At 36.6% G+C, this 26,950-nt stretch overlaps 1 protein-coding gene across 11 annotated transcripts in view, besides 2 other annotated features; it reads left to right on the top strand.

The window, feature by feature from the left end:
* Positions 1-26,950, top strand: part of DLGAP1 (DLG associated protein 1) — a 959,276-nt gene that overhangs the window by 30,109 nt on the left and 902,217 nt on the right. The window lies entirely within an intron of this gene.
* Positions 17,343-17,516: a silencer, noted in NCBI's record as "fragment chr18:4407683-4407856 (GRCh37/hg19 assembly coordinates)". NCBI's record gives its function as "represses an EF-1alpha promoter that drives an FKBP-Casp9 reporter gene in an ReSE screen in HepG2 liver carcinoma cells {active_cell/tissue: HepG2}" and the evidence as "EXISTENCE:reporter gene assay evidence [ECO:0000049][PMID:32094911]".
* Positions 18,836-19,130: an enhancer, noted in NCBI's record as "tiled region #437; HepG2 Activating non-DNase unmatched - State 24:Quies, and K562 Activating non-DNase unmatched - State 24:Quies". NCBI's record gives its function as "activates a minimal TATA promoter and a strong SV40 promoter by Sharpr-MPRA in HepG2 and K562 cells {active_cell/tissue: HepG2 | K562}" and the evidence as "EXISTENCE:reporter gene assay evidence [ECO:0000049][PMID:27701403]".

Raw genomic sequence — 26,950 nt, 5'->3', positions numbered from 1 at the left:
GTGATGATTTGTGGAACCATTTTATAACAATTTTTTTTGGTTTTGAAATATTTTTTCTAGATTTTGAGCTTCAAGAAATGACAACAATGAAAAAGGAAAGAAAATAAAAATCAAATTTTAGCGCCCCGCCCCCCGCCCCACCAAGGAATGCGTGGTTATGTTGCATCTCCCTGGATTCTTGCAAAGATTTTTGTATATACTAGGCAGTAAATATGTGTTGGAGTAAATGGATAGGTGGAAGTAATTATATTTTAGATTTAAAAGAAGTTTCTTTCAGTGGAATAAACAATGCAGTAAATGTTAGATGGATGCTGCTAGGGAAATTTAGCAATAAATTGGTTTTGTGAAGTAAATGAAGAATAAGGTGCAAATTTAGTAGTCAATTTGACCATCTCTTGTATTCGCAATTTCCTCTCCCCTCAAAAACAAAAAGAAAAAAATCATGACTAAGAAATAAGTACTTCAACCAAACTACTGCTTTTATCTTTTCCAATTTGTGATTAATAACTTTTCTCTTTCAGATATGCCATGAATTAAATCAGAATCCCACAGAGAACAGTTTGGTCACAGTTTGAAGGCATTCCCAGATGGTTTTAAAGAAAAACGAATTTTAAGAGACTGTGATATAAATGACTAATTTTATCCTTGAAAGTATTAATGGTCCCCTTATCTCAATGACTGGCCAGCTTGTATTATCTTTACATCAAGTATACATAAATTTAAACTTATAGTAAAAGATTTTCTTAATAATAAAACTAGGAGGATGGTGTAAAAATCAGAAATAGAGGAGGTGAATTCTGGAAAATGTAAATCTTTTAGCTTTCTGCAAATTGAAATTAAGAATTTGCATGCTGTTAACACAGTTGCTTATCAGGAGTCAAGTAAACTAAAAAGGAGAAAAGTTTGCTTAGTTCCCTATTTAATATTCAAAGATCTGACTGCATCCTTTTAGGACTCTTTGCCAACTTCCACTATGCCCAGTAAATTCATATGACTTCATATTCTTTGCCCTATACTTCCCCAGGAATTGTTAAAAAAATTTTTTTTTAAGATGGAGTCTCGCTCTGTTGCCCAGGCTAAAGTGCAGTGGCATGATCTCGGCTCACTGCAACCTCCACCTCCAGCTTCAAGTGATTCTCCTGCCTCAGCCGCCTGAGTAGCTGGGATTACAGGTGCATGCCACCACGCCTGGCTAATTTTTGTATTTTTAGTAGAGATGGAGTTTCACCATGTAGTTCAGGCTGGTCTTGAACTCCTGACCTCATGATCTACCCGCCTAAGCCTCCCAAAGTGCTGGGATTACAGGCGGGAGCCAACGTGCCTGACTTTTTTTTTTTTTTTTTTTTTAAATTCCTGGGCACTTTCCACTTAACTAGTGTCTCATGCTCCCAGGATATGGGAGGTGTATCACCATTCCCAGGATGTCTATATATGTTGTCCTGGGGTAGGCAACCTTTAAAGAAGTCTGTGAGTTGGCAGAATTGAAACAGTTCTCTCATAATTAGGTATGTGTTAGAAGAGGAGCACTGCATTCTCTCAGTGACAGGTGGTAATGACATATCAACCCTAGTTTTCTATCAGATGTTAGAATAATCTAGCAAATTCTGTTGATAAAACATAAATCTTGAAAAATTTCTTTTAGATTATTTATAATTCTAACAAAGTTGAATCATTTACTATACTTTGTTGTAAAATGTTGAAAATTCCAACCTACAACAACCATTTAGGAAAACTATTTCTGTAATTTGATGTGAAATGCCGTGCACTTAGTAGGCAAAGAGAGAGTCATACAGTGAATTACGAAAATTTTAACAACCTAATCAATTTCATAGTTGTTAAATTAATTGTGTGCCATTTCTCACCTTAATATTAATGCAGATGTTCTGCCTGTGAGCACTGCACAATTTTCATTGTTTATTTTATGAAGAGCTACATAAAATTCTCCATAAAACTCTAACAGGACATTTTTTGATTAATCCATTTTCCAGGTGAAGAAGCAAATACCAGAGAAACTGAATATTTATTGCTTTGGGAAGAATTGGTAGATCCCATTTAATGATAGTGAAATAACAATTTCATGGGAATTTTTTTAGGTTTGAGCTACAAAAGTTACTTTCTAGTAGTAGTATATAAAATATCATTATTTTGTGAGGTATATATAAATAAAAATATCTTGGAAGACGTATTTTGTGGACAGCAGCACTAATCATTATGCTAATCATTATGTTAAGGTTAGTGCCTCTTCCAGAAACATTTAAATTTTATAATTTATGTGTATAATTTACGTTTGTGGATGTTATTCATTCATGGTCTCATTTACTTTACCAGGCATGCATAATTGGCTTTTAAATGGCTCATAGAGTATACTGACAACTGTAGGCTCGCTTTTTCTTAAATATAATGAAAGTTTGTTACATTCAGAAATAAAAGATTTTCTCCCATTTGTTAGGACAATACATGGATAATGCTAGTATTAATATTTTTGCTAAGGTGGTTCACATTTCTTCGATGTTTGGACTTTGTGATGTTTAGGAAATAAATATTTCAAATTTATTTTTATATATTTCTATATAGTTTTTTCTTTATCAGAAGACAATTCATATCTAAATTACATTGAAATGTCTGAAGTTTTAAGAATTATAAATGTACTTTGAAGAAAAATTAATATGTGTTTAACAAATATATTCACTTTTTAGTTATTTTAAAATATTGTAAATAAACTCACTGCACAACATTTAAACCCATAGGTAAAAATGAGTTGGATACAATTCCAGTATTAATATTTTTGGGATCAATTTATCCAGATTGTTTTAAATACATATTTTTACTAAAATGTTATTATACTACACATACCATTTTATAAACTTTTCATTTGACAATATGGTGAATTATTTTATATGTCAGTAAACATGGCATTATATTACCAAATTTAATGGCTACACATCATGTCATTGTATAAATATACTACATGTGCGTACATATATTTTTATATATACACTTGTTTATATATATATTATAAATTAAGCCTCAGGTAAGCCCCTATTATTGGGCATTTTATACTAGATTCAACCTTTCTTTTCAAATAAAAAAGACTGCGGTGAACACACTTGCACATTCACATATGAACCAAATATTTTTATGCTAGAGTTCTGAAATTGTCATTGCTGTGCTAAAGGCAATATGCAGGCCAGGCATGGTGGCTCACACCTGTAATCCTAGCACTTTGGGAGGCTGACACAGGCAGATTGCTTGAGGTCAGGAGTTCGAAACCAGCCTGGCCAACGTGGTGAAATCCTGTCTCTACTAGAACTACAAAAAAATTAGCTGAATGTGATGGTGGCGGGTGCCTATAATCCCAGCTACTCGGGAGGCTGAGGCAGGAGAGTTGCTTGAACCTAGGAGGCGGAGGTTGCAGTGAGCCAAGATCCCGCTACTGCACTCCAGCCTAGGTGACAGAGTGAGACTCCATCCCCCAAAAAATAAAAATAAAAACTAAAAAACTATAAAGGCAATATGCACATTTTTTCCAAGACTTTTGCTTGACTTTGCCAAATGTTCTCTGAAGACATCATGCTAATTTAAATTTTTTCAAACGTGTATGAATCCTCTTTAACTCCATAGTCTTGTGAACTGTGGATGTTATTTTAAATATATGACAGAGTGCTTGTAGTAGGCTGAATAGTAATCCCCTAAAAGACATGTTCATGTCCTAATCCTGGAACTTGTCAATAGCAACTCGTACGGCAAGAGTGAACATTACCTTATATGGCAAAGATGTGATTAAATTAATGATCTTGAAAAGAGGTTTACACTGGACTATACTAGATTCTCTGTGTGGGCCTTAAGTGTAATTGCATGTATCCTTAGAGTTGAAAGATTGAGGGAGTTTTGAGGTAGATGCATAGAGGAGAAGGTGAAGTGAAGACAGAGCAGAGAGAGAGAGAGATGTGGCTACAAGCCAAGGAATACTGACAGCCACCAGAGCTGGAAAAGGCAAGGAAAGGATTCTCCCCAAAAGCCTTCTGAGGGAGCATGGTTCTACCAACACCTTGGTTCAGACTTCTGGCCTCAAGAAGAGGGAGAGTATAACTTTCTGTTATTTTAAGACACCTGGTTTGTGATAATTTGTTACAGCAGCTCCAGGAATTTAATACAGTGCTATACAGACTTCACTGTTTTTGAAGATACTAATAATAGTTTCAAGGGAAAAATCTCTGAACCAAATTCTCAAGAATCATCAGATATATATGTATCATCATGTATAACAGACGGAGTGGAAAGAGAGATACTAAGGGTACCTTATCAATAATGCCTCATGGTTGATTTCATGTGGAGGTGATAAATGATAAGATGCACAATTCTGGCTTAAATATCTTAATGGAGGGAAATATGAATCACCACGGTAGGTAATTAAGGAAGTGGAACAAGATGTTGAATTTAGCAATAGTATGTTGGGTTTGAGGTGCCAATAAACTATCCAGAGAGCAACTGTCTAGTAGTCTACAGTCCAGTAGTGTGATATTAGGCAAAATTATGAATCTGAGATTTATCAGTGCATAGCAATAACTAAATCCTTGGGTATGGATGAGGTCTTCCTAGTGAGAAAACTTAGGTGAGGACAGAGTCAATGATGGAGCCCAATGCTCAGGGACCCATTGACTGACCACTGAGGTGAGGAGAAAGAGAGAGAGAACTATAAGTAGAAACGAAAGATAAAGTAGGAACTTGACTTTATATTATTTTAAAATGTTAAGAGATTTTTATAAGCCAGAATATAGCCAGTCTATTTTGGTTGAATGTTTCATGTCCAATGGAAAAGATTGTGTATTCTGCTGTTGTTGGGAGGAGTGGTCTATAAATGTGAATTATGCTGAGTTGGTTGATAATATTGCTCGGGTGTTCTATATCCTTACTGATTTACTATGTACTTGTTCTGTCAATTATGAGAGAAAAGTGTTGAAGTCTCTAACTATAAATGCAGATTTGTTTGTTTTCATTTTTATCAGATTTTGCTTTACATCTTTTAAAGCTCTAGGGTACATATTTAGAATTGTTATGTCTTCTTAGAGAATTGACTCTTTTTGCAAGACATAGTATCCTTATTTATCACTGATAATATTTCTCATCCTGAAGTCTACTTTACCTATTAGCATAGCTACCCTTGCTTTCTTGGGTTAGTGTTTCCATGCTTTAACTTCTTCCATCTACTTATTTTTAAGCTGTCTGTATCTATTTGACCTGTCTGTACATATGTAAAGTGTGTTTCTTGTGGACAGCATATACTTGGGTTTTGATTTTTTTGGCCTTCTATGTTAGCTGTTTTCTATTTGTCTTACCTGTTGTTTGTTTCTTTTCTCTTTTACTTACTTCTTGTAAAAATTTAGCATTTTTATGTTTCTATTTTTCCCTATATTATTTACTCAATTTTGTTAATTTTTTTAGTGTTTGCTCTGTGATTTGCAATAAATATCAAGTAGAGTCTACCTACAAATATTATAATCCCACTGCATGCATTATGTAAGGACCTTAAATAATCTGAATTTCCCTCCCATCCTTTATCTTATTATTTTCATAAATTTAACATTGAAATATGCTACAAACATACAATATGTTGGTACCATTTTGGCTTTAGAGAGTCAGTTATATTTTAGCACAATTAAAATATGAAAAAAATTTATTTTCCATTCATTGATTCTATTTTCAGCACTCTTTATTTCTTTGTGTAGATTGAAGTTCCTGTTTGCTATCATATTCTTTCTGCCTATAGAACTTCCTTTACCACTTTTTGAAGGGTAGGTCTGCTGGCAATTAATTATTTCAGTTTTTCTTTGTTATTATGATATGGTTTGGCACTGTGTACCCACCCAAATCTCATCTTGTAGCTCCCATAATTCCCACGTGTTGTGGGAGGGACCCAGTGGGAGATGATTGCATCATGGGGGTGGGTCTTTCCCGTGCTGTTCTCATGATAGTAAATGGGTCTCACGAGATCTGATGGTTTTAAATAAACTTCTTTCTTTTGTAATTTGCCCAGTCTTGGGTGTGTCTTTATAAACAGCATGAAAACAGACTAATACATATTACTTCTTCATTTTTGAAAAACACTTCAAAATATTTTCTGAATTCACATTTTTTTTAGCACTCCATTGTCTTCTAGCTACAAGTCTGCTATAGTTCTTATCTTTGTTCTTCAGCATGTAATGTATCTTTTTCTATAGTTGCCTCCAAGATTTCCTCTTTGTCCTTTGTTTTTAGCAGTTTGAATATGATATACCTGGGTGGATTTTGTTTGCTTTTTATCTATCATGCTTTGCGCTCTCTGAGGTTTTTTTTTTGTTTTGTTTTTGGCTCTGTAGTTTGGTGTTTGTCTTTAATTTTTAAAAATTCACAGCCATGATTTCTTCAAATGTTTGTTCTGCCCTGTTGTTTCTCTTCTCTTTCTGTTATTCTATTTACATGTCAGTTAGACCATTTGATATTTTTTCACCTCTCTTGGATACTCTGCTGCATTTTTTCCAAACATTTTTCTCTATATATTTCTATTTGAGTAGTTTCTATTGATCTATCTTCAAATTCCTTGATTCTTTCTTCAACTATGTTGAGTCTACTAATGAAGCTGTGAAAGCATTCTTCGTCTCTGTTACAGTGGTTGTATTCAGTTCTAACATTTTCATTTGATTTTTTTATAGTTTCTGGCTTTCTGCTAAACTTCCAACCTGATCTTTTATCATATCCTTCTTTTCAGTTAAATCCTTTAACATTTTCATCATAGTTATTTTAAATTCCTTATCAGTTACTTCCAACATCTGTGTCATAGTTGAGTCTGGTTTTGCTGCTTACTTTGTCTGTTGGGAGTGTGTTGGTGGTTTCTGTTTTTTACTTTTTGCCTTTCTATATACTTTATGTTTTTATTGCTGTTGAAAATTGGACACCTTCTGTAGTTCAATGGAAACTGAAGTTAACAGTTTTTTCTGCCTAGTAGTGGACATGCCTTTCCCTCTGCTGGGCCTTTAGTGCAGGGGTTTGAGTAAAACTAGTTAGGAGTTGGGTTAGGTGTGAAGTGTGTTATAATTGTTATTTCACTCAGTATACCATAGGTTTCAAATTCCTCTAGTAACAACTTGTTTTTAGGATTGAGGCTGGGTTGTCAAACGTGTTTTGTTTTGTTTTCTCTCAATGCTTGCTCTATCGCCAGCTTTAAGTCTTTCCTTTGCACTGAACCTTAGAGAAGGTCTCCTTCCACACTTGTGTTTCTCTCCAAGCAGCACTGTGGATTACTTAAGATATCTTAGCTTGGCAGTGAGAAGTGGCAGCAGCGGAGTGTTCTCTGTTGTTCTCATTTCACCACACTATTAGACAGACAGTGTATCCCTCGATATTGAAGTGTGGCTTCCTTAGTTCTCCTGCCCCTTCCCATCTGCAGTTCTCAGCCCAGAATCTGCCTCTCTATCTTCCCCAGGGTTAAGTTGTTTTGTTTTGTTTTCTGTTTTCTTCCCTCAGCTGAAATTGGTTTTTTCCTGTGCCCAAGAGAGGCAGTGTTAATTGCCCTTCACTCTGGACACTTTACTTAAACTTTCTCCAATAGGTTTATGATATTTTTCAGTTTCTCCAGCTTTTCATTGTAAGTGAGAGAAAGATCTCTTCCCAGCTTTCTTTACCTTAAAGCGAAAACTAGAAGTCTCTAGAACTCTTATTTTTTACTAAATCATTACACTAAAGACAGCAGTAAGCAAACGTTTCTGTCTCAGGACCTGTTTACACTCAACAATTATTGAAAACCCCATATTTACTGTATTAGAAATACAACCGAAATATTTTAAAATATTTATCAATTCATTTTAAAATAATAATAAACCCATTATATATTAACAAAACATTTTTTGAAAATTAAATCTATTTCTAGAACAAAATATATTTAGTGATAAATATTTTAGTGATTGTTTTATAATTTTCCAAATCTGTTTACTGCCTGATTTCAGAGACCACACAGCTGGATTCTCTGCAACCAGTGGGTTGCCATGTCACAGTCACACATCATAAAACCTCTGGAAAATCCCACTGCAAACTCATGAGGGAGAGTGAAAAATGGAAATGGCATCTTAGTAATATTACAAAAATAGTTTTGATCTTACAGACTCCCTGAACAAGACCGGGGTTGACTTCCTTCAATGGGTATAGAATGACTGCAATAAGGAATAAACACACTATGCTCCTGACTTCTGACCCTCACACTACTGAATATATATATCAAGCCCCAGAGTGACAGAAAGTTCAGTTTAGTTTTGTTATACTTCATTTTGTAGGACTTAAGAAAGAGAAAAATAAAAGAGTGAAAGTGAACCTAGTCAGTGTCTGAACTTGTGTTTGAACCCAGGTCTTCTGACTGTAGAGCCTGTGTTCTTTCCCCCATGCCATTCTGTCTGTGATGGGTTGGAAAACAGGCAAGCCCAAGAGCACTTTTTGATTAATGCATATTTCCTATAGCATCTCATATTGGTCTTCCAAAAACTGATAACAACATCTCTTAGCCTCTTTGGCAGTAAACAAATATTAAGATTATTGGATCTTATAGAAAGTTAGATGAGCTTTGCCTTTGGGCATTTAGAGTTCTAGAGGTTTGTATATACACAGGTAGTTCATAGACTTCTGACTCTCTCATTAACCAAACATCTTTAATACTTTTTAAAAGCTCATGGTGTATGTTGTTCTAAAATGTCTTATGATGCATATCTTACTTGAACTAGAAAATGGTTGAGGTCAACCTGTAATTCCTTTATTTTTCATGAATAAAAGGAATTCAAAATTGTTATTAATAAAATGTGCCAATTTTGATAATCCCTTCTAATATAGGCATAACTCAATAGCAACCTATTATCATCTGACCTTGGTATAAGCTCATCTATGGAATTTGAAACTATTATAATTGATCCACAAAGGACACTATTGCCAGGATGCTTGAAAATAAATAATGACAGGATAGATAATATTGTATGATGAAGTGTGAACATATTCTTTGTTCTTCCTTAAAGGCCACTGAATCTTTGTTGAATTTCATGATGTATTAATATGTCACTACAATTTAGGTTCTGAAGCATACAATATATTCTAGCCAGAATGCTTGCCAAGATACTAGTGCCAGAATTGAAATACTGCAATGTGTTTATTGAAGAGCATAAACATAATAAATAGGACTGCAGTTTTATATTCTACTGTGAAACCTCAAAGCGATCAAATGAGAGGGAGAGAGAGAAAGAGGACTCACAAGTTCTGAAAAACTAAAACCAATTCTCAGGCACTTACCAATATAATTAATAATGCAAATATCATGATATAAACACCCTGTCTTTATTGAATTCCAGTTGTATTTCAGTGTGTTAGATTCTTCCCTGACATTGTTTCTGTTCTTCACAATGACTTTCTGAGGCACATGATAATCCCATTTTATAGATGAAAACACTAAGGTTCAGAGAGTAAAAAAACTTAGCCCAAGACATAAAGCTAGTAAGTGACAGAGCCAATTTTTGAATCTATATCAGCTGAAGTGCAAAACCTATACCATTTACATTCCACAAAGCTGATTTATTAACAGTAGAAAATAAGTGAACCAATTATAGTAAAAAAAGTTAATATTTGTTTTTAGAAACTTGAGCTGAATCTACTGTTAAAAGGCAATTCAGTATGAGGAATTATGTTCTAATGAACTTTACAAATCTGTAACCTGATTCATTGCATGCAAGTCTTACCGATTTAACAATTTTTCATTTTTTGAATGTTTATTTTATAAGGCAAGTAATAAATTTTAATATTACAAACACCACAATATTTTTGTAGCTTTTATTTTATAAACATTGTCATATCACATGTGCCAAATCAATTCAATGACTCAGATTTTAAGATACTAATTAAGAAAGTTGTCCAGAACATGATACTTTTCATTTTTCAATTGTGGATTACATTTTCATACAATTTGTGTGTTATCCATCAAAAATACTAACTGATAATATATTATACAAGTGTTTGCTCTGGGTGCTAAGGTTTATAGAGTATGAGAAACAGTATTTGATTTAAATTCACTTTGTAAACTACTCATTGATTATAGATTGTTCCTCTAATATCAACAGTCATTATATATATATATATGTGTATGTGTGTGTGTGTGTATATATATATATGTATATTTCAATTGACCCAATGTTTTAAACACAATGTTGTTTTGTATAATATCACTGAAAGTCCTGTAGAATGAGCACATCATCTTCCTTCAGAAATTAAGGACTGAAGATTCAGAAGATAAGTAACTTATGCAAATTGACACTGCTAGTAATTGGCAAAGTCAGAATTCAAATATAAGAATATCAAATTTTATAAACCATGTTCATTTGACAATATGAAGGTGCCACCTATTCTCACTTTGCTGAGAGAGAATGTAGTCTCTATATTACTACATTACTTATCATGATTCTTTTTTTTTTTTTGACAGAGTCTTGCTCTGTTGCCCAGGCTGGAGTGCAGTGGCTTGATCTCGGCTCACTGCAGCCTCTGCCTTCCGGGTTCCAGTGATTCTCCTGCCTCAGCCTCCCGAGTAGCTGGGATTACAGGTGTGTGCCACCATGCCTGGCTAATTTTTGTATTTATTTAGTAGAGATTGGGTTTCACTATGTTGGCCAGGCTGGTCTGCAACTCCTGACTTCAAGTGATCCACCCATCTCAGCCTTCCAAAGTGCTGGGATTACAGGCATGAACCAGCATGCGCAGCCCTTATCATGATTCTTATAACAGACCAAATTATGTCATAATGACATTGCTTATTTATATGCTAAGCATCATATAAATACAATTATTCTGTGTACACCAAATCTAAACTATCAAGTAACTTTTATTGATTGTTATGTGTAAAACAAAACAATTTCATCTTTATTTTGCAAAGCACTTCCAAGACATTTCATATAAATAGTTTAAATTTACTTTTCTCTCTATCTTATTTTCCTGATGCAGATAGTTGCCATATTATTGAATGTTTGTATTCTATTTTAGCAATGTTATATGTTCTTTAAATGGATTATCTTATTTAGTAATCACTTTTCATTCACATTGGAGATGAAGAAACTAAGTTCACTGAATTGAAGATTTGACCAGCTTCACATAGTCAGTGTCTCAGTCTGGCATTGAATGCAGCCTGTTGGATTCAGAGCCTAAGGATGAGGGACGGTCATTCATATTTAATTTGATGACCTCGTGCCACCTCAAAGTGAAATTATTTCTGAATTGTTAAGAAGGACTGTGAAATATCAGTTTCCAAAAACCGTTTTCTTGAAGTATAGAGTATATAAATAAAGTGTGGCCATGCTGTAATCATGATGGCCCAGCTTGATGAATTTTCAGAATTTATATCCATGTCAGTAACCCCCAGATAAGAAAGAGAACATTATCATTTCTCCAGAAACCCTTTTATCTTTCCTTTGAGCCACTGCCTTCCTACAAAGGAAACCCCGTCCTAATACCTAACACTAGATTTTATTTCTGCCTATGTTTGAGCTTTATGGAAATAATGATTATACTGTGTGTGTCCTTTTGTGTTTGGTTTCTGACTAAGATTAACTTTCCTAGAATTCAATCCTGAGATGGAGATTGACAAACAAGAAGTTGACTGGGGAGCCCTCGTGGCAGAATAGCCCGTAAGGGAGTAGGGGAGGGAGGTTCTGTCAGAAGGAGGAATTGAATGGAGATGTAGTTGCCCCAGAGTCCTTATCCAGGCCCACACAGGACTTCGGAGCTTCATGGCACAAATGAGCAAGGGGGCCAGGCCTTGACCATCTCTCTCTTGGAGAGGGGATGGAGGAGGTGCACTTGCATGTGCTATAGTCCACCTGCCGGGCTGTTGGGATCCACTTGCTTCATTTAAACTCATGGGGAAGAGTTCCTCCAGGGAGTGGAATGAATCCCTAGCTGCAGCAGCTGGTCTCTGGGCTGCACTGCTCCTCCTCATGTCCTTTCTCTCCTACCAATACTAGATTCCCCACATCCTCTGTTAGCATCTCTGTTTGTCTAGATGGATAACGAGGTAAAGTGATCCAGATCTCCATCTGAACACCATGCCTGTCTCAGGCTGTGGCACTTCTCCATACTCCATCACAGTTGGGCAGGGAGTATCAAAAACGCCCCAGTGAATTCCCTGATGCCAGACATGTCCTTCCCTGCCTCCTTGTGAATATCATGGGCTTGGCGCTCTGTAATAGCATCCCCTCCGATCTGCCATCACCTAAAAAGGCAGCACCACTGAGCATCGCAGCATTGCCTGTGCATGTCTAGGCAGCACATTTCTTAGGACTTTGGCAAATCATGTATTATCCAGGACAGAGTGTGGGGACCTGGTGGGTTTGCTGGCCTTTGTGTATCCTGGAATCTATACTCTATCGTGTTCACTTCTCTGTATGTTTTTCTTTTTCTTTTTCTGTTGTTGGCCTTGCTTTGGACCATTGCCACCTCCAAATTTCAGAGAGCCACCTTAGCAACATGAATTCTGTCTTCTGGTGTCCTTTTTAAGAGTTAAATCCTATATAACAGGTGGTTGTTCTCATGTCAATAAGCTGTTCCTTATTAAACTTTATGTTTCTCCATACTTGGTCCTAGACCCTGAACCCATCCTCTCAGCTCTAGCCATGCATGTTGGGCAGGTGCCACAGCTCCTTCAGTGTAAACACCCTTCTCTGTTAGCAGAGCCAGCACTTATCCAGCTGGATTATGTTGTTACCTGACCTAGTTATTTGTCTGGCAGCCTGGAGGAGAAGCTGACTATATCTTGATGAGGGCACTTGCTATCTTGCAAGGCAGAGCCCTCTGCATCATGTTTATGCCAGGCAGAGATGATAGCCTTAACAGAGTGGAGTGGGGTACTTGTTTAGGCCCAGGAGGTTGTGGGGAATCTAGTGATAAGCGATTTTCAAGTGCATCCATTGAGATATTGCAAATCTCACAGTCCCCCTCTTCACTAACACAGGACCAGGCCTTGGCACAGCTGACTTGCTGGGGCTGGCTGAGATGTCCAGTTTCCCTCATCATTAAGCCCTGAGCCTTATCATCAGCCTATTCTGCATCTGACTATAGGAAATGAGTATCTTTACACGATACTAAGGAGACTGTAGTAGTTAGTCTTACAAGATAAGGACGTCCTTCCCTGCTTTAACTCCCCTGACATTCTCCCTATATAAGCATGTCGCATCCAGAAATTGAGCTTATTTTTTGCTCCCCTTGAACCTGAGCTGGACTTTTGACAGGCTGTGATCAATCAAATGTGGCAGAAGTGATGGTTATGTTCTCGGACTTCCAAGCCCATTAAAGGACTGGCAGATTTCTCTTTCTCCTCTTGGAACCCAGCCATCATGCTGTTAGGTGCCCGAGCAACATGAAGAGGTCACATGAAGGAGGACTGGGTGCTCTAGTCAAAATCCTAAGCTGATATCCTAGCCTATGGCCAGAATCCAATGCCAGTTGCATGAGTGAACCATATTGGTTGTTGCAGAATGTGGAGCCTTCAGATGACTCCAGCCAATCTCACGTGGAGAAGAAAAGCTGCCTCGCTGAGCCCATCAACCTCCAGATTATGAAAGATAATAAAATGGCATTATTTTAAGACAAAGTTTTGGGGGTGATTTGTTATGCAGCAATGGAAAATAGAAATTGACTCGCTCTGATCTATTCACTTTGCTCTAAATTGCTGCTTTCAGTTTTTCATTGACTTTCTCTGCCCGCTATACCCTAAGCAAGAGCCATCTGATCCCATTACTGTAATTATGAGTCCACCCAAACCTTGCAAACAGCCATGATGTTGTATCCTCCAGTGTATTTTCTGCCATTAAAAGTTTTAATAACTGTACCATTATCTCATCCCAGGGGCTATCAGTTCTCTACTGATGATGGGTCTCCATTGTTAGCTGTGTGGTGGGTGATGTTTGGACTATTCCTTGTACCAACCCTCTTTTCTTGAGTTCTCCAGGAAACAGACTGTGAAACTCAGAGAGTTGCATGAAAAAAAAATTTGTTGGAGAGCCCTCTTGGCAACACCATCTCCAAGGGGCTGAGAGAAGTAGGTTGGTCAGAGGGAGAATTTGAACTAAGATGCAGTTGCACCAAAGGCCTCAGCCAAACCCGTGAGGTGCTCTGGAGTAAGGACTGTTCTCCAGAGATGTCCCATATTGAGGCAAAAGGGCAGGCCCATATCACCCACTTATTGGGGGGTTGCTGCTTTTGCCAGAGGAAGTCAGGCATGAGCCTTCAGCAGGCAAAACTCCTGGAGCTGGGAAAACGATTACCTCAGGTTGAAGTGGGGATTCTCTGTGGTACACCATGTCACATGGGACAGCATCTTTTGTTGGTTATAATTGTGAGATCCATCGATGTTGTCGTGCATAGCAATAGTTTGTTCTCATTGTGTCACTATCTTAAACTTTTTTGATTGCTTTTGTTGCTATGAATGTTCTTGATTCCATCTTTTGATTATATATATATATATATATTTGGGGGGAATTGTATGTCTGAAAATAAAATTGCTGGATCAGCGGATACTGTATATGTAATTCCATTTATAGCAAACAGTTTTCCAAAATGTTTTAAGCAATTTATACTTCCATCAGCAATGTATGAGAGTTCTGTTATATATAGTTTTATACTTTCATATTCCATTTTAATGTTTGGAAATGGGATACTTAATATATGCATATATACTTTATATGTATGTACCTGTATGTATGCTTCTGATAATTCTCAGAATGCTATATTATTTGGAATTATTTAGAATCTACTTTAAAAATGGAAGCTAACTTTATTTGATTGTTTTGACTATTTTAATATTGAAAATCTAGCTAGACTTATTGAATTTTTCTACCAATTTTTTTATTTTTCCATAAGTTATTGGGGTACATGTGGTACTTGGTTACATGAGTGAGTTCTTTAGTGAAGATTTGTGAGAACCTGGTGCACCCATCACCCAAGCAGTATACACTGCACCATATTTGTTGTCTTTTATCCTTTGCCCCTCTCCCACTCTTCCCAAGTACCCGAAGTCTATTGTATCATTCTTATGCCTTTGTGTCCTCATAGCATACCTCCCACATATCAGTGAGAACATACCATGTTTGGTTTTCCATTCCTGAGTTACTTCACTTAGAATAATAGTCTCCGATCTCTTCCAGGTTATTGCAAATGCTGTTAATTCATTCCTTTTTATGGCTGAGTAGTATTCCATCCTATATATATACCAGAGATTTTTTTATCCACTCGTTGACTGACGGTCATTGGTTTGGTTCCACAATTTTGCTATTGTGAATTGTGCTGCTACAAACTTGCGTGTGCAAGTATCTTTTTTCAAATAAGGACTTCTTTTTTCCTCTGGGTAGATACCCAGTAGAGGGTCAAACAAATCAGTAAGAAAAAAAAATCAATCCCATCAAAAACTGGGCTAAGAACATGAATAGAGAATTCCCAAAAGAAGATATACAAATCGCCAACAAACATGAAAAAATTATCAACATCACTAATGATCAGGGAAATCCAAATCAAAACCACAATGCGATACCATCTTACTCCTGTAAGAATGGCGATAATCAAAGAACCAGTTAAACTTTAACCTGCATAAAGCTTTAACAGAAATAACTAAAGTCGTTGTCTCTCATCGATATTAATTTTATATCCCTCACTATCTTCAGAAAGAAAAATGTGTTGATTTTATTTTCAAGATTTGTGAATTCTGTGATAGAGATAAGAAGACCAAAAGGTTGCTATTTCTCAACATCACATTATCTGTAAGATACCCAAATTTGCAGATAGCATATTACTGCTTACTGCCTTCCACATAGGAAGTTTTCCAAATATTTTAATCTACTTGGAAAAAAAGAATTATAGAAACTGCAAAAGAGGGAAATAAATAAAAAAATTAACTGTAGTCACATGTATCATTCTCTTTTCAGCATCATTTTTCTCTTTATAACTTAGAAAAATGGAATACTGTCAGTAACCACCTTTTCTTGCCTAATATTTTATAATAACTAGTTTCTTTATCAAAAAACAAAACCCTAAGTTACCATTTTTTAAATTATTTTATAGTTTCCATGTAGTAGATATATCATAATATTATAATTTATTTAAATAACCTATTGCTGGACATTTGGGTTGTTTTTATTTTTTGGCTTCTACAAAATACAATGTGTGTGTGTGTGTGTGTGTTTGTGTGTGTGTGTGTGTGTATAATGGTTTCATTTGCCAATTGAGCTTAAATTCTAGAAGGAATTGCTAGTCTAGGTTAGAGCGTTTTCCTAGATGTTGTCAAATTAACCCCAGAAATATTCTTATTTGACAGTGATATACCTACCTCTGCTTTTGAGTATATGATTTTTCTACACTTTGGCTGATACACAGTTTTAACAATGAATCACCTTTGCCAATCTAATATATGAATAATATATGTTATTACTTTAATTTTTATTTCTTCCTTAGTAGTGAGACTGAATTTTTCGCAGACTTATAATGGACATATTATTAATTTTGTACATTTTGTTTTGTTCATTCTTAATTGGTTTGTTCATCTTTTATCAATTTCTATCAACTATAAACCTTTTGCTGTCCCAAATGCCAATACGTCTCGTATGCCATATCCCTTATACCAACGTCATGTTTATATCTTGCCATTGTTTTTCAACTCTTATTGTAATTTTGACATATTCTTTTTTGGTTTTCTGTTTGTTTATCATTTATGGTTTCTGGTTTGGCCTTATGCTTATAAAAAAACCTTTTCAATCCCTGGTTTTTCTGCTGATTTTAGCCTCCAGTTGGATGTAGTAACAATAGTGAACTGCCTACTATTTTAGTTCTGTGCTTTTTATGGTATTTTCTATGGCTGGCATAGTACCTCTGTTCTCCCACCCCCTGCAACACACCCACACGAATACGCACAGCATTGTAACCACTACCGTGAATATGCACCTGATAAATATCGACCCTTTTGGGAAGACTCTGATCAAGAATAACTTTTCTTTGGAGCCTTTCCTGACTCGCCTCCCTTTCTCCTCTCTGTAAAGTTGACTGTTCTTTTTTTCTTCTTTCCTTCTACCACCTCAAAGTATCTATCACAACACCTCAAATACTTTAAGGCCCAAACTTGATTACAGATTTGTATGATCTTACTCAACTCTAAATTCTTTGACAAAACTCACGTTCATCTCCATACCCCCAGAGTGTATGATAGCACCTGCTGCAGGAGAGTTGGACAATAAATGTCTGTTGAGTGCCTGTTAGATACTTTTCTTATTTATTTATATATTTATTTATTTATTTATTTATTTATTTAGAGACTGAGTCTCACTCTGGCGTAATCTCGGCTCACTGCAACCTCCCCCTTTTGGATTCAAGCAATTCTCCTGCCTCAGCCTTCCGAGTAGCTGGGATTACAGACACATGCCACCACTCCCAGCTAATTTTTTTGTGTGTTTTTAGTAGAGACTGGGTATCACCATGTTGGCCAGGCTGGTCTTGAACTCCTGACCTGAAGTGATCCTACCGCCTCAGCCTCCCAAAGTGCTGGGATTACAGGCGTGAGCCAGCGCACTCGGCCTGTTAGATACTTTTAGATACATGATTGAGGGAAGGGATTTGCCGAGACCCAGAAAGCTCCTAGGGAGCATAGCCAAGCCTAATGCCAATGCTAGGTTCTGTTGACTGCTTTGCGTTACTGCTACTCTACTTGCAAGTGGAGTCAGTAATGAGGATCAGTAAGCATATCCTTTGTACAGATAACTAAATCCAGAAAGTTTACATTCAAATTCCCTCTTTCATTATCTAGCTTTCATCTAGCTAGAACTTATTTAATTTACCTGTGTAAAGATGACATCTCTTTCTCTAAAGGGAAAAACTTGGGCAGCCAAATAGTACTTTTGGGTGGCTAGAATTAAAAGTCTTCCCATCCCCAATTACCTTGTTTTTTTACAGCAAATGCTACTTTTTTTCCCTTTAACTAAATTGTGTTTTGCCCGTTATTTTTTCTGGTTGGTAAAATTTGCATTGCTAAAGTGGGATTAAACTTAACTGTTATTGTTTTGTGGCTAGAATTGCATGGAGTAAGCCACCTTCTTACATAAAGTAAATAGATTTCATGGTTCAGCAACTAACAAAAATCTAACTTAATGTGACAGGAGAGTGCAATTTTAAAAGGAAAGCTCCCAATGATCATAAAATCATCAACTTCTTTTGAGTGAGAAGAGACCACAGAAATTGCTTTTTATTCAAATTGCCAACCAAAGTCAACATTGCAGAAATATATTTACCCAGCTTTTGACTACACTGTCTCAGTTTGCACTTTCTCATAAAGCCACTAATTTTATATTTTATACAGTTCTCATGCTTATAAGATTTCTCCCGATTTCAAGATCAATTAGTCCCTCTTTCTCTCCATTTACTATTGCAGGACTCTTCTAACTGGCTTGCTGGTTGTCCTCTAATTCATTCCCTGACACAACCACTCCCAATATCCTACTCGAATTCTAGTGTATAGAGAGAATTAGTGGCTAAAAAAGGATATCTACTTATGCGCTGCCTCTCTTCCCACCTGGCAAAAAGAGACTTGCCTTTTCCTAGCAGTGTGACCTTGGACATTCACAAACCTCTGTTAACCTCAGTGTTCTCAGTTATGAAGCATGATAATACCTTCCCCACCTCACAGAGTTGTTTCACCGATTAAAATATGTGCATAAAAACACCCTTACAACTCTGCAAGGCTTTATGTTAAATTCTCTTGAGGCAGGAGAATAGGGTCTGGAGGCAGGGAACCTAAGGCTGATTCATGCTGACTTCCTAGAACTAAATCAGAAGGAAAACCCCAAGTTTCCATGCTCAAGTAACAATAGGACCAGGGGTTACTGCCTTTGCAAACTCCCCTCCCTTTCTGCATCACAGATGAAAAATGGAAACTACTTCTGATTGGTCCACTCCCACAACCAATCAGACTGGTGGTGGGCCTAGTTTTCATCTGCATAGGGCAATAACTTTGTAACCACTTCAGCCTCTGATTGGTCCCCTCTCACAACCAATCAGACGTTTGCATAAGGTGTAACTTTGTAACGTAAGTCTCTGATTGGTTGCAGGCCACGCCTTCACTTACATAGGGCGTAAACCAAGTAACTAATGGGAATCCTCTACGGTTTAAATACCCCAGAAAATTCCATAACCAGGGCTCTTGAGCTGAGCCTGCGCCCACATTGTGGAGTGTACTTTCACATCAATAGATCTGTGCTTTCATTCCTTCGTTCTTTAGTTGCTTTGTTTGTACTTTTTGTCCAATTCTTTGTTCAAAACGCAAAGAACTTGGACAACTGGTAGTCAAAACCTTCCCCCGGTAGCAAGTCTATTCTCTGAAGCTAGTTTGGAGCCCCTGTTGGTGGCACCAGTGATTCTAGTGTTTTAAGTGAACTCCCTGGACCCATCTTTGTCTTGAGATAGTCTTCTAAGCGCACAAGATAAGTCAGTTAGGTGAGAAACAGTGAAAGCCACTTTGTATTAAGTGTAAGAGTGTAAAATGTCAATCTTCAGAACAATAGGGACGTATTGTGTCCCCTCTCACTGTCTATTTTTATCATTATGCATATACATGTATATTTATAGTTTAATTCTCAGAAAGTGGCAAACTTGCTGAGAAAGAAAAAAAATGGCACTTTGAAAAAATGCTCATTGTGTTGTTCTTTGAATAATTCCTGACACTGTGCTGGAGTTAAGGAAATATGTTTTTTTTTCTCCCTTCCTTTCACTTGCAATTAATTATGAATGTTTCAAAGTAGTGTCTGAATTCCAGAAACTATCCAGATAAAATGACATAGGAGGTATTGTAAATCTGTCATCTATGTTGTATTGATATATGCTTTCTCCACCAGTGGAAAATGGACCACCACGTTGCCCTCTGATTTGGATTGCCCTGAGGGATACCTATGGCATTAATACTCCTGCTTTGGTGCGAGTGTTCTAGCTGCTGATGTAAACCCAATTTTGAGTTATAGTTTATAATTGCAAGAAAAATCCCTTTTCTTTTTCAACCACTGACTGAAGTGCTGAAACCTCACTTATGAATGTGAATACTTTTCCAACTGTGTGTAATTGAATGTACTTAAACTTAAGTAGTTGCTTATATTCTTGTTCTTTCCCCGTACAATGAAGGTACCATTCTCTACCACGATTATTCTCTATCTTAGTTATTTTCTCAAAGAACTAGTAGGATATAGTTGCTTCTATTTTTAGCATTTATTTCAAGATCATAGGAGGGCATGGGGAGAAGCCTTTTTTGTTGTTATTATTTTTGTTTTAAAATCAAACTATTAGGTGCCTTACATAATCAGCCCATGTCTAGCATGTGGGACTATTTTACTGTCCTGCCAGAGTCTTCTGTGACTTTGCTGTATTTGTCTGGCCTTTATGCGTTTTCCTCATATTATTATAATCTCTGATTTCATAGGATTTCCTTTTAAATTGACATTTTCCTTTGAAAGACTTTGAAAAGAAATACAGAAAAAAATTATGTAGAATAAGAAAATACAGACTCCATTCAAATTCATTAGATTTATTTTAACCCTCAAAGCTATTTCCCAGTAATGTATGTAAGAGTAAATTAGTTTTCATCTTTATGTAATATTGTATGTTTTTGTCAGCTCATGATAGCTGTGCTTTTATTGTCTACCTTGGCTATTACCTGTGGCATTTATATTTTGTTGTTGTTTAAGCTTTATTCCAACTTCTTCCTTGCCATGTTTTCTTGCGGTCTCCAGAGCAGCTAGTGTGTGCTCAGCAAATGTAAACTCAGTCAAATAATTATTAGGAAGGAAAACTGACTTCACAGGAAAAAAATCAAAATGTATTTCAAACTCAGCTAGAACTGAATTTTGAGTTATCTAATGCTATTAAATGAGATTTCACTTGCTCTGATTCATTAATTAATATCCTAAAGAGTTATCTATTCTTTCCAAGTCATATACAGTGAAATACTCATATGGTTATAAAAACAACAAACTGTTGGATAAGGAACATTTTTATCACCATCTTCCCTTCACCACACCTTTTGCACTTTCCTTCCTCAAAAGTCCTGTGACTTTGGTGTCTGGCATGTGGTATCTCTGCAGGCGCTGATCCTGAGAGCAATTTGGCAGAGGACTTTTGACTGGGACTGGGAAGTTTAAAGGTTGATGACCAGATAGTTTGGGGAGGAACTGTCTTCCCACACTCTCTGAGCAAGTGGGAAAAAGGGCTGCAGAAGGGAGCCAGGGAGAAACAATATAAGTGAGACCCAATTCTTCTTCTTGATATTTCATAGCCTAATTACTTAAGTGTGAAACCTTCTCCAGAATAGCAAATAGATCTTGCAAATAACCCATGGACACTCAACTGGAGTTTGGCAAGAAAAAACATAATAAAAAGAAAGAAAGGAATCAAAAGCTATTTCCATTCCAAGGGACAATCTCAGCCTTTTAAATAATTATTTAAAAATTTGCATGCACATAGGAACAAATTTCTCCATTTTAAAATGTAACAAGACTTTGATTTGCATTATTAAAACATTTCTTAAAATATAATTTATAATTTGGCAGGAATATAATCAATGGGGGAGGGAAACTTTGTCATCAGAATTTTTGTGCGTAATTTAAAGCATGCATGGCGAAATATTGCCTATCATTTAAAAATTGTTTTGTTAAGGAGAATTTTTTGCTAAAAACATCTTTTATTTTCTTTTCAAACATAGATAACATTAAGCATTATTATTGTAATACCGAGTTTTGAAAATGAAAATTAAATAAGTAGAATTTTCATTATGTGGGTAAAATTACATTGCATTTTCTGAATTTTAAAAATTCAACCTATATATTCCAGGTATATTTTAGTTGATCATAGGGAAGTGGACTTTTTGGTGGAACTTCAGTACTTGGTTTATAGATCAGGTAAGCATTATATGCTCTCAATCCACATTAATGAGCAACCACTCACACATTACAATGGACACTTTTAAACAGCAGTAGGGCCTATAACATATCAACTTTAAATTTTGCCAACATTTCTAAATCAGAACTAATAATACCTACCATTAATTAATGTAGAAAATACACCTTTAGTTTGCAATATTATTCAGAAGAAAAAGAAATGGTAAGAATATCTTTAAACCTAGTATTAGTCATGGTCAGAGTTCTACCATAATTCATATATTGAGCCATTATCTTTTGCAATATAATACTAAGTGAAAGATTTCAGAGTGTACAATATTGTTGGAGATAAGGACATCTATAAATCTGTACAATCTCCATTAAGGCTGGCTTGACCTGTAAGCATTCCAAATAATTGCTTTGGGAGACAGGGAAATTTTGGTGAGAGATGTGGTGAAAAAAATAAGCCAGACTCCATTTGCTGCTGGCTACAGACATAACATTATGGACTCTAATGGTCCTTTTGACTGTCTTCTTTTTACTTCCTCTAATTTTTCTTTTTGCAAAGCAACTTTTTACCAATTCAGTGCTTTTTAATAATTAAAAAAGCAATACTCTACAATGGTAACATCCTAATGTTAAAAAAAATTGGCTTTGAGATCCGATTCTGATGTTCATGGGCCAAGTGACCTTGAAAATGTCATTTCACCCTGTCTGAATCGTTCTCATCTGTAAAATAGAATTAACCATGTCTTCCCGGCCTGCTTCCCATAGTTTTCTTGAAGAGCAAATAAGGCATTTTCTTTGTTACTTTGAAAATGACTCTGCTAAGTGAATGTGTGAGATTATTATATTTTAGTTCCTAACATTAATAATATAAATAGAGATATCTGTTTCTGACAAACCTGTTTTGTTCACCAATTTAAAAGTAATTTCCTAAAATTTAGTGGATTAAATGAAACATTATAAATAATATAGATGTGAGTTTAACTATGACCTCTTATGCATCTTAATGTCCTAAAGGAGTGTTAATATTATCATAGCTAGATTACATGAAGACATTGACTTCTGATTAGGTACTTATTGGCCAAAGAGTGGTGAAGTTCAGTTATCGCCAAAAGGGATGATATATTTTAGTGTTCTCTGAAAGCTGTAATCAGTAGCCCCCTGCTATTGGATTGTGTAAGTGCTGAGGCTACTTTCTCTCAAGGAACCCTGGCACTTTACTCTCCCTGTCTGTGTCCCCTCAGTGTGGTGCTTAAATCACCTAGGTGCTTGTTAAAATATAGATTGCTGGGCCCTTGCTGCCTGCAGCCTTAAAATATAGTTTAGAATTTGGCAGGAATATAGTCAATGGGGGAGGGAAACTTTGTCATCGGAATTTTTGTATGTATTTTAAAGCATGCATGGTGAAATATTACCTATCATTTAAAAATTGTTAAGGCATATTTTAAGCTAAAAACATGGCTTTTCTTTTCAAACATAGATAACATTCAGCATTATTGTAATACCAAGTTTAAAAAATGAAAGTTAAATAATTAGATTTGTCATTATCTGGGTCAAATTACATTATATTTTCTGCATTTTAAAAGTTCAACCTACATTTTCCAGGTACATTTTAGTTAATCATAGGGAAGTGGATCAACTTCCCTATGATCAACGGGATTATGCTTTTTAAAGAAGATCTCCAGATGCTGCTGACACACACTAATGATTAAATATCACTAGTTCTTGATCACTAAATTCTCAGTCTGACAATAAGTGTAATTCTTCTAAATTTTATAAGCAGAAAACTCAGAAGGAAAAAAAATACTTTCTCATGCCTAGTGTAGTGCCTGGTACTTTTGTTCTGGATCTGTTTTTACTGGCAGTTGTGGCCTTTTTGTTCTATACAGAATAAGCAGCATGGTTTTTGCAAAGAAAGTAATTTTAAGAATGCAAAGATGAGGTTAAAAGATTTAAGCTTCTTTCACACCTTTCATCCAACCAGGGTCTGTGATTATTAACTGAAAAATTGTAGAACCCGTTTTGACAAAGGAGTTTTGTGTTGTGAGCTATAATAGGAATTGGTTTGGCTCCACCTCTAACTGAAATAAATGAAACTTTGGATCTGATCATTAACCATTTTGAAGTGCCTCTGCTGACATTAGTAATAGTGTGTCACTTGATTTCCTGTTTCCTGCATGACTTACCCAACCTGATACTCTTTGGCTGATACTTCTAAGTAATTTGGAGTATTTTGACATATTTTAAACTACCCAAGGAAGAGAAGAGTTGACTTGTGTTTGAGTGTGAAAATAAGGACCTGCAGTGTATTTACAAAAAGTAAACTTCAGTAGGGAGGATAGGCTGAATTCAGGGAAAGGAAATCTTTGAAACTTTGAAGCCAAAGTGGATTGTTCTATAGCAGGAGCTCTTAAAGGGTGAACCCCAGCCATCAGGTGCAGTACCCAGTGGAGGTTGTTATACATGCACATTTTCAGGCACCACCACAAATCAGTATTCTTGCCTGTTGAGTTAGCCATGATATGATGCCATCAGCTCTTGAATTTATTTTCTCAACTTCTGACTTTGTCCTAAGAGTCTTAACATCTTGGCCTCCTCAGTCACAGAGGTTGAGCCTTGGTTTCAGCTGCTGTGTCTACCAGTTGCTCCCCCGAGAGCCCCACAAAGAACATTCTGTGTATGTCCTGCAGTCTTTATTTCATGTCCTTTACACTTAGTGACATATATCCGTGAAAATATACATGGGACACAGGAAAGAGCCAACCTGACAGTTTCCTTCTCTGGATTGGCCCCAGTGGCCCAGGCATCATCTGCCCATTAGCAGATGCTGTAGCAGCAGGTTTGAAAACTCAGCTTGTCCTTTTTCCGTTCTGAACAACAGCAGGAGAGGAATTGTCCTTTATGAGACATATTAGGTCAAAACTTGAATGTTTTCACAGAATTATTCAGGTCACCTTGTCCCCAGAGAAAATCAACCTGATCAGCCACCTGTTAACATCTTGTCAGAATCTTTGTTTCCTCTAGTCCTAAAGGGAACACCAACGCCATGCTTGGCTGCTGGGGAGATGGGGAGTGCAGGCAGATGCTCAGGGGCGTGCTGCAGGTGGATGTCCCGGGTAGTGGTTCAGGAGGAAGCCCTGGGGATGTGGTGCAGGTGGATGCCTGGCGGGGGGTGGGGGAACATGTGGTGCAGGAAGCTGCCTTCAAGAGTGGTGCAGGTGTCACTGCAGATCCTCGATTTGTTGACATCCCTGTACTTTTTTTTATTTAGGGCTTTATTAATGATGCTCTCAGGGCCCTTCTGAAACTAGACATACCTAGCTTTTTTTCCCGAGTCAGGTTGCTGCTTAGTAAGCATAGAAGTGAGTCAGTGCTTTACAGGTATTTATGCATGGAAGGAGAGAAGGCAGGTCTTGGGAAATACAGGGCACTTACAGAATAGGTTCTTTAGCCCCCTATGAAGTGAGGGATATTCTTCTTCATTTTTTTCCAATAGATGTCTCTCTCTATGCCTCTTGCTTCTCTACCTGCCTCTCTGGAGAAAGCCAGCCTCTGCACCTGCAATTGAAAAGTAGTAGGCTTCACATCCTGTGGGATTAATTGTGCTGAACGAGAGTGCTGGCTTTATCCCCAACAGTCTCAACAAAGGATTTCTGAGGAAAGATGGAGAAAAAGGTATCCTAAGACGTTGTAAAATAGTGAAAAATAACACTTGACATCAGCTGCTGCTATATTTACATTTTTATTTCTCTACTCATTAGCTGTTTAATTTTGGACAGATAAGCGTTCTGACGCTCAGTTTCATCACCTGTAAGATGGGATTCTAATAATACTTATTTTACAAGGATTTTTTAAATAAATGTAATTAATATAAGGTAAATGCACATAAATAGACCCTGAAACACTAGTAGCTATCATTTGTTACTCTTGTTGTTTTCAGGAATTCTTGTTGGTAGTAGTAGATTAAACATTTCCAGTGTAAAAAAAGATAATTCCACTTGGTGTCAATAGTTTTTTAAACATAGAAGTAAATCCTTTCTTTTTAACAACTTGACATTGAAGTGAGTTATGAAAAAGATATTTTGAAATCATCTTTTCTAATGATTTTTAAAATGGGTCCGTCTAGGCCTGGTGCGGTGGCTCACGCCTGTAATCCCAGCACTTTGGGAGGCCAAGGCAGGCGGATCACAAGGTCAGGAGATCGTGACCATCCTGGCCAACATGATGAAAACCCTTCTCTACTAAAATAAAAAAAATTAACCAGGCGTAGTGGTGCGCGCTTGTAGTCCCAGCTACTTGGGAGGCTGAGGCAGGGGAATTGCTTGGACCCCGGAGGCGGAGGTTGCAGTTAGCCGAGATCACGCCACGGCACTCCAGCCTGGCGACAGAGTGAGACACTGTCTCAAAAAAAAGCAAAACAAAAAAACGGCACTCTTGATCTGGAATAGCCTGGCTTGTCTTACATGGCTAAACTCTAAAAATTCTTCCAGGTTTGTGATTTAATGAATTACCCCTGGCTTAATGGACACATAGAGTATTGATTTAAGTAACACAGATGAAAGCAAAGGGACAACAGTTTCTCTCCATTTACCAATTTCCTGTGTTTCTGAAGTGGCTCCTATATTTATCTTTTCATAGCAGCAATAATGCCTTCAACGTCCATCCCCCGCAATCATCTTCCATCAGTTTCAAAACATTTTCTGTAATAGCTATTAAGTTAATAGACACTGCGGGTCTGCTACACTGAGAGTTGGTAAACAATTTGTCCAGGATCAAGCAGGACCAAGCATGTGTAATTTCAGTTGGTATGTCCATAGCATATCCGCTAACTGTAATGTAATTTCCCCTTTCACTGTATTTGACTTCAACTTCTAAGGTCACTGGAGAAAGTGAACAGTCACATTTCTAGTAATGAAAAAAATTGCTTTATGAAAGTCTGTTTTTTTGTATTCCTGCAGAAAAGCAATGGGGACAAATTGGGATTTTCAGGAATTCCTATTAGATGT

The sequence above is a fragment of the Homo sapiens genome, chromosome 18, assembly GCF_000001405.40.
Source record: "Homo sapiens chromosome 18, GRCh38.p14 Primary Assembly".
NCBI lineage: Eukaryota > Metazoa > Chordata > Mammalia > Primates > Hominidae > Homo > Homo sapiens.
This window is presented reverse-complemented; position numbering and strand designations above follow the sequence as displayed.